General features: G+C 38.5%; 1 protein-coding gene across 8 annotated transcripts in view; it reads left to right on the top strand.

The window, feature by feature from the left end:
- Positions 1 to 13,153, top strand: part of BAZ1A (bromodomain adjacent to zinc finger domain 1A) — a 122,630-nt gene that overhangs the window by 84,623 nt on the left and 24,854 nt on the right. For 6 of the 8 annotated variants that reach the window (XR_007063978.1, NM_013448.3, XM_024449460.2 and 3 more), the window contains 5 exons: positions 4,517 to 4,612; positions 4,737 to 4,961; positions 6,811 to 6,976; positions 7,506 to 7,619; positions 10,428 to 10,552. Coding sequence is in view for 7 of the 8 variants with exons in the window: in NM_013448.3 (NP_038476.2) it covers positions 4,517 to 4,612; positions 4,737 to 4,961; positions 6,811 to 6,976; positions 7,506 to 7,619; positions 10,428 to 10,552 (726 nt within the window). In the remaining variant the exon portion in view is untranslated. The remainder of the gene's footprint in view (positions 1 to 4,516; positions 4,613 to 4,736; positions 4,962 to 6,810; positions 6,977 to 7,505; positions 7,620 to 10,427; positions 10,553 to 13,153) is intronic. The other 2 variants (NM_182648.2, XM_047430887.1) reach the window with 1 other exon arrangement.

Raw genomic sequence — 13,153 nt, 5'->3', positions numbered from 1 at the left:
TAAATAAAAGTTTTAATGCTCTGTTTGAAAATATTTAGCCTGGGCGACATAGTGAGACCCCTGTCTCTACAAAAAATAAAACAAGGCTGGGTGTGGTGGCTCATGCCTGTAATCCCAACATTTTGGGAGGCTGAGGTGGGCAGATCACTTAAGGTCAGGAGTTCAAGACCAGCCTGACCAACATGGTGAAACCCCATCTCTACTAAAAATACAAAAATTAGCCAGGCATGGTGGCGCATGCCTGTAATCCCAGCTACTTGGGAAGCTAAGGCACCATAATCCCTTGAACCCAGGAGGCAGAGGTTGCAGTGATCCGAGATCACGACACTGCACTCCAGCCTAGGCAATAGAGAGAGACTCTGTGTCTCAAATAAATAAATAAACAAATAAATAAATCAAAATTAGCCAGGTGTAGTGGTGCAGCCTATAGCCCCAGCTCTACTTGGGAGGCTGAAGTGGGAGGATTGTTTGACCCTGGGAGTTTGAGGCTGCAGTGATCTGTGATCGTGCCACTGCATGCCATCCTGGGACAGAGTGAGACCCTGTTTCAAAGGGAAAAAAAAAAAAAAGAAAATATTTATTTAAATGTTAGGGAGGAAAAAAAATAAGTCTGGCATTTTTCACTCTTTTCTCACTTTCCTGTTATTTATTATTGGCCACATTTTACATAGTTACTGAAGATCACATAGCTAATAAGTGATGTAAGAGACTACGCATTGTTTCATTAAATTCTCATACTACTCTTTTGAGGTAGATATTATTTTCTGCATTTTACATATAAAGAAACTGAGGCTTAGTTTGAAGAAACATGGCTAATAAGGAATTGATGGGATACAAGTTCAAGCAATCTGATCTAGATACTCATTACAATTATGCTATGTTGTTTCATAATACGGTAAAGAAGTTGAAATTTTGAATATTTGTTTCTCTGGCATTGCCTGTAAAATTACTTGTCTTTGAGAAGATCTAATTTCTTTGGCCCTTGGTCTCCCTGTTTTTATATCAAACCTGAGAGATTTTGACCACCAATTTAAAAAATCTTACATTTAATACATCAGTTCCTCTCTTTAGTCTTATATCATGAACTAAAAAGCCCTTCAAAGTATGGGAACAAGAGCATCCTCTTTATATAGAACAGTTTTGTGTATTTGTTGGATCATTGTCTAGTGTTGGAATTGTATGCACCTAATTCTAGATTATCATGACAATAAATATATCTGTTGCAGGTAGTCATAAAATACTGGATATAATTCAACTATATTCTCTTCGTTGTGATGTACCCAAGTGACTATCACTAAGCAAATCCTAGAATGATATTTACAGTTTCTTAAGAATGACATATGATAAAGAGTTAAAGAATATATTTTAGCATATTACTTTATTTAACACAATTAAAAATACATTTCATTGGTTTTTCATTTCCTAAAGGCCTTTTTATAGCCTTTGTCTTAGGAAATTATAACTTTCTATAGATGGTATAGGTTGAATGTGGTGATTGCTGCAGGATGAGAGCCAACACCTTTTACAACTTTGTATCTAGGACTGTTGTTAATTTTGGAGTGCTCATTAATTAAATTTGTTTGGCTTTATATGTAAAATGAACATTGATGAAATTTTAGGTCTAGTATTTTTCTGCAACAGAAGAATATGATTTCTGTCATTTGGGCTAGATTAGGTCTGGTAGGAATGACTTTTGGCATATATGCAAATTTTATAGATAGCTTCTCCTGTGTGGCCCTATGTATGCTTTAAATGCCATGAAATTGTCGATGATTGTAATCAGATACGATCCCAGAGCTGCCTTTTTCCTTTAGTAAGGGACTGTTCTCTAAGGTTAATTTTGTCAGGCTTTGAACTTTGGTAGGGGAGTCATATAGTAGAAGGCTAAAGAACCACAGAAGATTAGCCTAGTGATTTTCAAACTCTAACCCAAGGCACCCTACAAGTTGTTCAGAAATTCTTCAGTGCCACTGCAGGAGAGTTGGAAAGATGAAAAGGCAGAATTCTCATCTCCATATCTCACTTTAGGAGGAGCATCTTTTATCTCTTTTATATTGAGTTTTCAAGAAAAAAAATTTTTTTTTTTGGAAGAATTTGAAAGCTGCTGATCCAGAGTCATTCCTTTAAGAAAATGGGCCGGGCATGGTGGCTCACACCTGTAATCCTGGCACTTCGGGAAGCCAGGGCAGATGGATCAGTTGAGCTCAGGAATGTGAGACCAGCCTGGGCAATGTGGCAAAACCCCGCCTCTACAAAAAATACAAAAACTAGGTGGGCATGGTGGCATGCGCCTGTAGTCCCAGCTACTGGGGAGGCCGAGGTGGGAGGATGGCTTGAGCCCGGAAGGCAGAGGTTGTAGTGAGCTGAGATTGCAGCACTGCACTCCAGCCTGGGCAACAGATTCAAACCCTGTCTCAAAAAGAAAAAGAAAAATGAGGCTGAGCATGGTGGTTCACGCTTGTAATCCAAGCAATATGGGAGGCCGAGGTGGGTGGATCACAAGGTCAGCCTGGCCAAGATGGTGAAACCCTGTCTCTACTAAAAATACAAAAATTAGCCAGGCGTGGTGGCGGGTGCCTGTAATCCCAGCTACCTGGGAGGCTGAGGCAGAGAATTGCTTAAACCTGGGAGGCGGAGGTTGCAGTGAGCCAAGACTGCGCCACTGCACTCCAGCCTGGGTGACAGAGTGAGACTCCATCTTCAAAAAAAAAAAACAAAAATGAACCCCAGATTAAGTGACTTGTCTCAATGGCACATTACTAGGCACTAGCATAGCTAATACTAGAATATACATTATCTGACTCTTAGTCTGAATCTGTGTACACTGTACTATGATATAACAGAAGGGTTTTTCATAGCTTGACATTTTGATCAATCTATGTATTATAATTAGGAATAATTGGATATGATAATGCTTTACATACATTTGTACCAGTAGATTTGCTGTTTAGTTCTATTTGTAAGCTAAGCACTGTTTTAAAGCTAAAGCAGTTTATTTAGAAAATTCAGGGAAATCTTCCTATTGTGTTTTTGTTTTGTTTTGTTTTGTTTTTTTGAGACGGAGTCTAACTCTGTCGCCCAGGCTGGAGTGCAGTGGTGTGATCTCGGCTCACTGAAACCTGTGCCTCCCAGGTTCAAGTGATTCTCATGCCTCAGCCTCCCAAGTAGCTGGGATTACAGACATGTGCCACCACGCCCAGCTAATTTTTGTACTTTAGAAGAGACGGGGTTTCACCATGTTGGCCAGGTTGGTCTCAAACTCTGACCTCAAGTGATCTGCCCGCCTCAGCCTCCCAAAGTGCTGGGATTACAGGCATGAGCCACCGCGCCCGGCCCCCACTGGTTTTTGGATTGGGAAGTTTTCTTTTCTTTTTTTTTTTTTTTTTGAGACAGAGTCTTGCTCTGTCACCAGGCTGGAGTGCAGTGGCACAATCTTGGCTCACTGCACCCTCTGCCTCCCAGGTTCAAGTGATTCTCCTGCCTCAGCCTCCCGAGTAGCTGGGACTACAGGCATGCGCCACCACACCCAGCTAATTTTTGTATTTTTAGTAGAGACGGGGTTTCACCATGTTGGCCAAGATGTTCTCAATCTCTTGACCTCGTGATCCGCCTACCTCAGCCTCCCAAAGTGCTGAGATTACAGGCATGAGCCACCGCACTTGGCCTGGAAAATTTTTCAAATAAAAATGTGAAATTTTAATGAAGATATTTCAATAGTTAAATTACAGTAGTGCCATCTTTAACTTTTTTTTAGCTCATTTTCTGTGATGATTTTGTGATGGCTACAACCTATACTTTGTTATGACTTAATCTTAAAATATCCATAAAAGGGCTGGTCACCATGGTTCACGCCTGTAATCCCAGCACTTTGGGAGGCTGAGGTGGGTGGATCACCTGAGGTCAGGAGTTCGAGACCAGCCTGACCAACAAGGTGAAAACCCGTCTCTACTAAAAATACAAAAATTAGCCGGGCGTGGTGGCAGGTGCCTGTAGTCCCAGCTACTCGGGAGGCTGAGACAGGAGAATTGCTTGAACCCGGGAGGTGGAGGTTGCAGTGAGCCGAGATCGTGCCACTGCACTCCAGCCTGGGTGACAGAGCAAGACTACATCTCAAAAAAAAAAAAAAAAAAAACACACATAAAAGATTGGAGTATCTTTAAATAGATTCCAATTTTCAAGGTAGACTTTTCTAAGGTTATATTGAGTGAGGAGATTTGTTTTTAATTCTAAAGTGCATTTTATCTTTTGGGGGAATGTTTATGTGCGTCTCATTGGTAATTTGGAAATTGTCTTTTCTGTTAATTTACAGAAATGTCAGTGTGTAGTGCTTGGTTTAGGATTTATAGCTGTAGGTGGTGATGAAGCAGAATGTGAATATTGCTTGTACCTAGTGTTTGTTCTTTTGAGGTTCCGAATGTTAAGGCGTTTGCTGTTTCTTTCATCATTTAAAACGGGCATTATTCCCAAATATTCAAGCTTTGATTTGCACTAGAATAAAGTATTTATTTCCTTAAAGATTTAACAGAGGCTTTGGATGAAGATGCAGACCCCACAAAATCTGCACTGTCTGCAGTTGCATCTTTGGCAGCTGCATGGCCACAGTTACACCAGGGTATGTGTGGGTTTTGTTTTTTTTTTGTTTGGCTTTTTATTTTTAATTTTATAAAGGCACATTTACATTGCTGAGTATTTATTGTTTATATTCTAAATGACTATTTCATTTTTAACAACTATAGGCTGCAGTTTGAAAAGTTTGGATCTTGATAGCTGCACTCTTTCAGAAATCCTCAGACTGCACATCTTAGCTTCAGGTGCTGATGTAACATCAGCAAATGCAAAGTATAGATATCAAAAACGAGGAGGATTTGATGCTACAGATGATGCTTGTATGGAGCTTCGTTTGAGCAATCCCAGTCTAGTGAAGAAACTGTCAAGCACCTCAGTGTATGATTTGACACCAGGTAAGCTTTGCAAGTTGGAATTTGCATAACCTGCCCACTTCCTCCCTCTTATGCCCAGAAAACTAAGGAGCTGATGAGAAATTTTACAATAAATCAGTATTAAAAGAGAAAAAGAGAAAGCAAACTATTGTTATTATTCATATTAACTTTATTTATGATTGTCTTTTTTATTTGGATTTTCTAATATTTTTAAACGTATGATTAGTCTACTACATCTACTGAGTTTAAAAGGGTGAGAATTAGCTAGAAAATTAGCTTTCTCTTGTATTTACTAGTGTATCAGAAGTTTAAATCTAAATGGCTGCTAAATCCTGCCATTCACTTGAATAAGTGTTTGAGGTATGAGAAACAGTATATGAGGTTAAGATGAAGCTATTTTTCACTTCCTTTTTTTAAAAAATTGCATGTACAAGTAAAGAGTTTAATTTAGTATACTTTAGAGAACATACAGTAAAGTAGAATACCTTACTTCCTAACATTTGCAGTCTTTATAATTTATGGTGGTTTTTTTGTGCAGTCTTTTAGAAATAGTAATTTACCATTGTCTTTTTTTAATTCATGTGATTATAATTTAGTATTGATTTGAACTTCAGTTACTCAGCCAAAAAGTTAAAACTTGAGGGCTGGGAACAGTGGCTCATGCCTGTAATCCCAGCACCTTGGGAGGCCAAGGTGGGCAGATCACCTGAGGTCAGGAGTTCGAGACCAGCCTGGCCAACATGGTGAAACACCATCTTTACTAAAAATACAAAAATTAGCTGGGTGTGGTGCTGTGCACCTGTAGTCCCAGCTACTCGGAGGCAGAGGCAGGAGAATCGCTTGAACCCAGGAGGCAGAGGTTGCTGTGAGCCCAGATGGTGCCACTGTACTCCAGCCTGGGCGACACAGCAAGACTCCGTCTCAAATAAGTAAAATAAAACATGACATGCAAATTCGTGAAGCGTTCCATATTTTTTTTTGGCCAGGCGCGGTGGCTCACGCCTGTAATCCCAGTACTTTGGGAGGCTGAGGCGGGCAGATCAGAAGGTCAGGAGATCGAGACCACCCTGGCTAACACAGTGAAACCCCGTCTCTACTGAAAATACAAAAAAATTAGCTAGGCGTGGTGGCGGGCGCCTGTAGTCCCAGCTACTCGGGAGGCTGAGGCAGGAGAATGGCGTGAACCCGGAAGGCGGAGCTTGCAGTGAGCCGAGATCGCGCCACTGCACTCCAGCCTGGGCGTCAGAGCGAGACTCCGTCTCAAAAAAACAAAAACAAACAAAAAAAAACTTGAAAACCAATTTGTAATTACAAAATTTCTCATGTTTACTTAACTAGTATACAAGATAGACATTTGAAATGCCTCATATATCAATAGCTGCAAATTGGATTCAAAGTTGCCTTTTTTTTTTTTTTTTTTTTTTTTTTTTGAGACAGAGTCTCACTCAGTTGCCCAGGTTGGAGTGCAGTGGTGCGATCTTGGCGCAACGCAACCTCCGCCTCCCGGGTTCAAGCAATTCTCCAACCTCAGCCTCCCAAGCAGCTGGGACTACAGGCACATACCACCACATCCAGCTATTTTTGTATTTTTAGTAGAGTTGGGGTTTCACCATGTTGGCCAGGCTGGTCTCGAACTCCTGACCTCAGGTGATCTGCCCGCCTCGGCCTCCCAAAGTGCTGGGATTACAGGTGTGAGCCACTGCGCCTGGCCCATAATTGCTTTTTCCTGAAGACATGTCATTGACATGTTTGAGAGACTACTCCATATTCTTTATTAGGCATTTTCACATTGAGCCACAAATTTAAAAAGTTCAAACACAGTTCATTTGCTGCGATTTATAATACAGAAGTATTTACCAATTTTTGACAGGAGAAAAAATGAAGATACTCCATGCTCTCTGTGGAAAGCTACTGACCCTAGTTTCAACTAGGGATTTTATTGAAGATTATGTTGATATATTACGACAGGCAAAGCAGGAGTTCCGGGAATTAAAAGCAGAACAACATCGAAAAGAGAGGGAAGAAGCAGCTGCCAGGTAAGAGATAATTGTAATAGTTGTGTTAATGAAAGCTGTTTATTTCTTTGCATTTAAAACCATATTTCACATGGTGCTATAATGTGGCATTCATTATACTGATGTTTGATGGCTTTACTAAGAGCTTGTGAATGAGGCCAGGTGTGGTGGCTCACGCCTGCAATCCCAGCACTTTGGGAGGGTGGATTACTTGAGGTCAGGAGTTCGAGACTAGCCTGGCCAACATGGCCAAATCCCATCTCTACTAAAAATACAAAAAGTAACCGGGCGTGGTGGTGCATGCCTGTAATCCCAGCTACTCAGGAGGTTGAGGCACGAGAATCACTTGATCCTGGGAAGCAGGATCAGCCTGGGCAGAAGAGTGAAACTCTGTCTCAAAAAAAAAAAAAAAAAGCTTATGAATGATTACTACATTATAGTTTTATAATAATGTTTGAAGTACTTTCCATGATTTGATTAAAGACAAGATGCTAAAAGTGAAATGTATATGTGCATCAGATAGACTACCATATTTCATTTTAACTTTTAGAATTCGTAAAAGGAAGGAAGAAAAACTTAAGGAGCAAGAACAAAAAATGAAAGAGAAACAAGAAAAACTGAAAGAAGATGAGCAAAGAAATTCAACGGCAGATATATCTATTGGGTATGGTTTGAATCACACTGTTCATCTGCTTTACCATACATAAAGAATAAAAACCAGACACCTTAAACTCTAAAAATGCTTTCACATTTTTAGAAAAGTTGTCTTTTTATTATAGGTACATGATAATTTCCCAGAAAAACACTCAATAGGCTATTTTTAACCAATATATTTATCTGTCCCCTCCACCAATATCACAGGTGTACACTGTATTTCACAGAGTTATTCTGTGCTGTATAGAGGAACAGGGTTGAGATTGGATGTTTTTTGGTAGATGATATAGGGAGAGGATGACAGCACCTTAAGTAATTTAGAGATACCCAAGTATTTTATTGCATTTTAGAATATTTGAGATAGGATTGTCTATGAAAACAAGTAGGAATTTGACAGAAATCATCTTTTTTCCTTTTTAATGAAATCTGCAAAGGAAAGTTCTGAAAAAACTCAATATTCCAAAATTAGTATATTGACTTTGACTTTTTAATACTTGTGTATAAAAATACCCATTAATAAGCCTTAAGATCTTAGGTCACAAACTCGCAGTAGAAGAAAATATTTGCAAATCATATATCTGATAAGGGACTTGTATCCAGAATATGAAAGAATTCTTACAACTCAACAATAAAAAATTGAAAGATTCAGAATAGGGAGTTAATTTTTTAAATGTCAAAAAATAAAGAAGAAATAATTAAAAGAAAAAAAATCTTAAAAACAACCCAATTAAAAAGTGAGCAATGGATTTGAATAGACATTTCTCCAAAGAAGATATGCAATAAGTACATGAGAAGATGCTCAACGTCATTAATCATCTGGGAAATGTACATCAAAACCACAGTAAGATACCACTTCACACCCAGTAGGCTGGCTATAATCAAATTGACAAACAATAACAAGTTTGGATGAGGAGTTGAGAAATCAGGACTCTCATACATTGCTTGTGGGAATGTAAATGATGCAGTTACTTTGGAAAACAGTTTGGCAGTTCTTCAAACAATTAAACCATTTGTTACTGTATGACCCGACAATTAAACCATTTGTTACTGTATGACCCAGTAGTTGCACTCCTAGATATATACCTAAGAGAATTAAAAGCATACCTTCATCCAAAAATGTATACACAAATGTTCATAGCAGCATTATTCTTAATAGCCAGAAGTGATAACAACCCAAATGTCCATCAATTGATGAATGGATAAACAAAGGTATATCTCTTCCGTGGTATGTCCATACAGGAGAATATTGTTCAACAATAAAAAGGAATGGAGTTCTAATACAGGCTATCATGTGGATGAACTTTGAAAATATATGCTAAAGAAGCTACTCACGACCAATTGCGGTGGCTCACGCCTGTAATCCCAGCACTCTGGGAGGCTGAGGCGGCCGGATCACCTGAGGTCAGGAGTTTGAGACCAACCTGGCTAACATGGTGAAACCCCATCTCTACTAAAAATACAAAAAATTAGCCAGGCATGGTGGCACATACCTGTAGAGGCAGGAGAATTGCTTGAGCCCTGGAGGTGGAGGTTGCAATGAGCCGAAATTGTGCTCCAGCCTGGGCAGCAGAGTGAGATTCTGTCTCAAAAAAAAAAAAAAAGCAGCTAGTGACAAAAGATCACATGTTGTATGACTCCATTTACATGAAATGTCCAGAATAAGCAAATCAGTAGAGAGTAGATGTTGGTTGCCAGGGGCAGCAGGAAAGAGGAAATGGGAAATGACTACTAATGGATATGGTGTTTCCTTTTGGTATGATGAAGGTGTTCTGGAATTGACAGTGGTAATGATTGCATAACCTTGTGAATACACTAAAGACCACTAAATTGTACACTTTAAAATGGTGATTGTTATGGTATGTAAGCTCAATTTTTTAAAAAAGAAAAGTAACACTATGGATTTCACATCTTCATATTTTTTAAATATTTATTCAGCCCCACTCATTTACATTTTCCTTGGCTGTCCTTACATTAGAACTTGCAAAACCCAACTGTGGATTTAGAACATAATGGTGTAATTTATTTCAAGGTTCATATAATTTTAGTTTTAATTTGGATAATATAATGAATTAAACAACTATATTGTGTTCATTCTGCCTGTTTACTATTTCTGAATTTCTCTCCTCCACTATTTATCATCTTCTCTCCTTCTACTCTAAGCCACCATCACTTCCTAGCCAGCCACCTAGACCACTACTGATCTGTTACTATTATTACTGGCTTCTTTACTGATCTCCCCTCATCTACTTTCTTTCCCAGGTAATTTTTCACACAGTGGCTACAGCACTTTCTAATATCATTTCCCTTTTCTAAATTCTTCTGGTTTTTTCCTATTGTTTTTTGGATAAGGCCTTACAAGGCCCAGCCTAATCTCACCCTGCCTTTTTCTCTCATCTACCTCTTGGATTACTGCTTTCTCCTTTACACTTTTCTCAAAATTATAAGCTCCTCCCATTTCTCTTGAGCTCTGTGCCATTGTGTATGTTATTCCTCTGTAGCACACACTCCTCCCCATCTCCCTGGTCTCACATTGTAAAATATCACTTCTTCAAGCCAGCCTTTTTGATCCCTAAGAGTCAGTTTCATTCTCCTTGAAATGTTTTCATAGTACCTTGAACTTCTCTTGTTTTAGTACTTATTACATATTTTTTAAATGATTTGTGTAATTATCTGTTTTCTCTGCAAGACCAAAACTGTGTCATGTTGTTCACTACTTCCTAAGCCTATAATGCCTGGTACTTCATAAGCAAGCAATAAATATTTCATAAATGGAATTATATATTCATTAGTAAATGTCATCTTTGTTTTTATCCTAAAGGGAGGAAGAAAGGGAAGATTTTGATACTAGCATTGAGAGCAAAGACACAGAGCAAAAGGAATTAGATCAAGATATGGTCACTGAAGATGAAGATGACCCAGGATCACATAAAAGAGGCAGAAGGGGTAATACTGAAATTTCTTTAGGGCATTCTTGTGTATTTGTTTTTAACCAATAAAGCACTTTATTAATTCAGCTCCTCTGAAATATATTGATTGCTTTCATTTGTGATTCCAGGCTGTGTTTGTTTTTTTAAATGCCCACCTCATAGCTGTGATGAGTTGTAAAAATGTGTTATGAAGTCCTATTAGTACATTTATGATTGGGTCATTATTTACACACCATCTATACTTTAGAAAGAAGATACAATATTCCTATGTCGTTAATAGGACAGTTTCTCATAATTTCAACTTTTGGTTAGTCATCAAGCTTCATTGAATTTTTACATTTACTACTTTTTTGGGCCAAATAGAAATTTGTATTCTATAATGTACTCATTCAGCATGCATTGGATGCCTCCTATGTGCTAGAGATATAAAGATCAATAATGCTCATAATTTGTATCATGTTGATGAAAATGGTAATCTCTCCTGCCTTAAAATTATTTCATAAATTGCTAGATCAAAGCAAATACATCTTTTAAAAGTTGTTAATACAAATTTCTTGTGTATTTATTTAATGACCTTATTTAATGACTATCAAAAGAAATCCTTAATTAATTCTGTGCCTATAATTTGCATGGGATCTTTTTTTCTGTATTTTTTTTAAATGGTTACTCTAAGTAGATAGAAAATTTCCTGTATCATGGAAGCTGTATTGTCTGATTACAATGCAATTGATTTCAACATCTAAAGCAAACCTAATATGATCAGAGCTTTTAAAACATACTTTCTAAATATTGGGTCAAAAGAGAAACCATAATGGAAACTAAAAAATATTTAAAACGAATCAAACTAATCATTACTGAATATTAACATGTGTTAAATACAGCCCCTCTACTTAGGGGAAAATGTATAGCTTTAATACATATTAGAAAAGAAGAAACACAAGCTGAGCTAGACATTTATTTAAGAAGATGGTGGGGGAAAAAGAATAATCCCCCCAAATCTGAAGGAAATAATACATTAGAGTAGAAATTAATAGAAAATAAAAATATAGTAGGGCCAGGTGCAGTGGCTCATGCCTGTAATCCCAGCACTCTGAGAGGCCAAGGTAGGTGGATTGCTTAAGCCCAGGAGTTCAAAATCAGCCTTGGTGAAACCCCATCGCCACAAAAAGTACCCAGAAAGCAAGCTGGGCATGGTGGCATGCACCTGTAGTCCCAGCTACTCAGTAGGCTAAGGTGGGAGGGTCACTTGAGCCTGGGAGATCAAGGCTGCAGTGCGCCCTGATTGCGCCACTGCACTCCAGCCTGGGCAACAGAGCAAGGTCCTTTCTCAAAAAAATAAAATAAAAATATAGTAAAGAACAACAACAAATCCAAAAGTGTGTTTGTCTGAGAAAGACAAACTAGACAAACCTTTGTTGAAATTGATTTTTATAAAGAGGGCAATCATAATAAAGTTAAGACTGAAAGGGGAGCAACATAACTATGGATAGAGTAGAAATTTAAAGATGAGATATACACAATTTTTGATGAATTTGAAAATGTATGCAAAAATAAAATCCTAGAAAATACAAATTATCAAAATGGATCTGTGAAGAAATTTGTTAATGTAGATGGTCTTAAACCATTAAAGAACTTGAATCAGTACTAAAATCCTTCTGCAGAGAAAACATCAGTCCTAGACAACTTTATAGGTGAATTCTGCCAAATTTTTTAAAAAGCAGATAATTCCAATCTTACACAAACTCTTTCAAGCAAAAGAAATAGAACGAAAAAATACTTCCGAACTATCAAAGCAATTTGACAGTAACTGAAACAACAGAGAAATTTAATTCCAACATACTGTCAAAGTCAAGGCAGATTATCAGGGGTCCAAGCTCTTTCTATCTTGTTGGTACTGCCATCCTTAGGGTTTTGCTGCCATTCTCATGTTCCAAAATGATTTATCACCATGTCTGCATTCTAGCTAGGTGGAAATGGGAAGGAGGAAAGGGAAGCACAGTCCAGAGGGTACACACAGTGCTTCTGATCCCATCTCTTTGAACAAAAGTTTTTCATTTAGTTGTGCCTACTATGGGAAATGTTGTCCTTCTTTTGGGTTGCTAAGTGCCCAGCTAAAAACTAGTGGTTCTGTTACCTTCAACCAGTGGTTAGTAAATAACAGTTTGTATGCCAAATCTGGCCGGCCCCATTTTTTTTGTTAATGTTTTTTGAGGTGGAGTCTCGCTCTGTCACCCAGGCTGGGATGTGCAGTGGCGCCATCTCGGCTCACTGCAACTTCCACCTTCTGGGTTCAAGTGATTCTCCTACCTCAGCCTCCCGAGTAGCTGGGATTACAGGTGCACACCACCACACCTGGCTGATTTTTGTATTTTTAGTAATGATGGGTTTTGCCATGTTGGCCAGGCTGGTTTCAAACTCCTGGCCTCAAGTGATCCAGCCACCTCGGCCTCCCAAAGTGTTGGGATTACAGATGTAAGCCACTGTGCCTGGCCCTGCCCTGTTTTTGTATAACTCATAAGCTAAGCTAAAAAGGAATTTTCCCTTTTTTTTTTTTTTTGGAGACAGAGTCTCACTCTATCCCCCAGGGTGGAGTACAGTGGCGTGATCTTGGCCCACT

The sequence above is a fragment of the Homo sapiens genome, chromosome 14 (genome assembly GCF_000001405.40).
Source record: "Homo sapiens chromosome 14, GRCh38.p14 Primary Assembly".
Classification (NCBI taxonomy): Eukaryota; Metazoa; Chordata; class Mammalia; order Primates; family Hominidae; genus Homo; species Homo sapiens.
The sequence above is the reverse complement of the archived record's forward strand: the minus strand, read 5'-3'. Positions and strand labels throughout refer to the sequence as shown.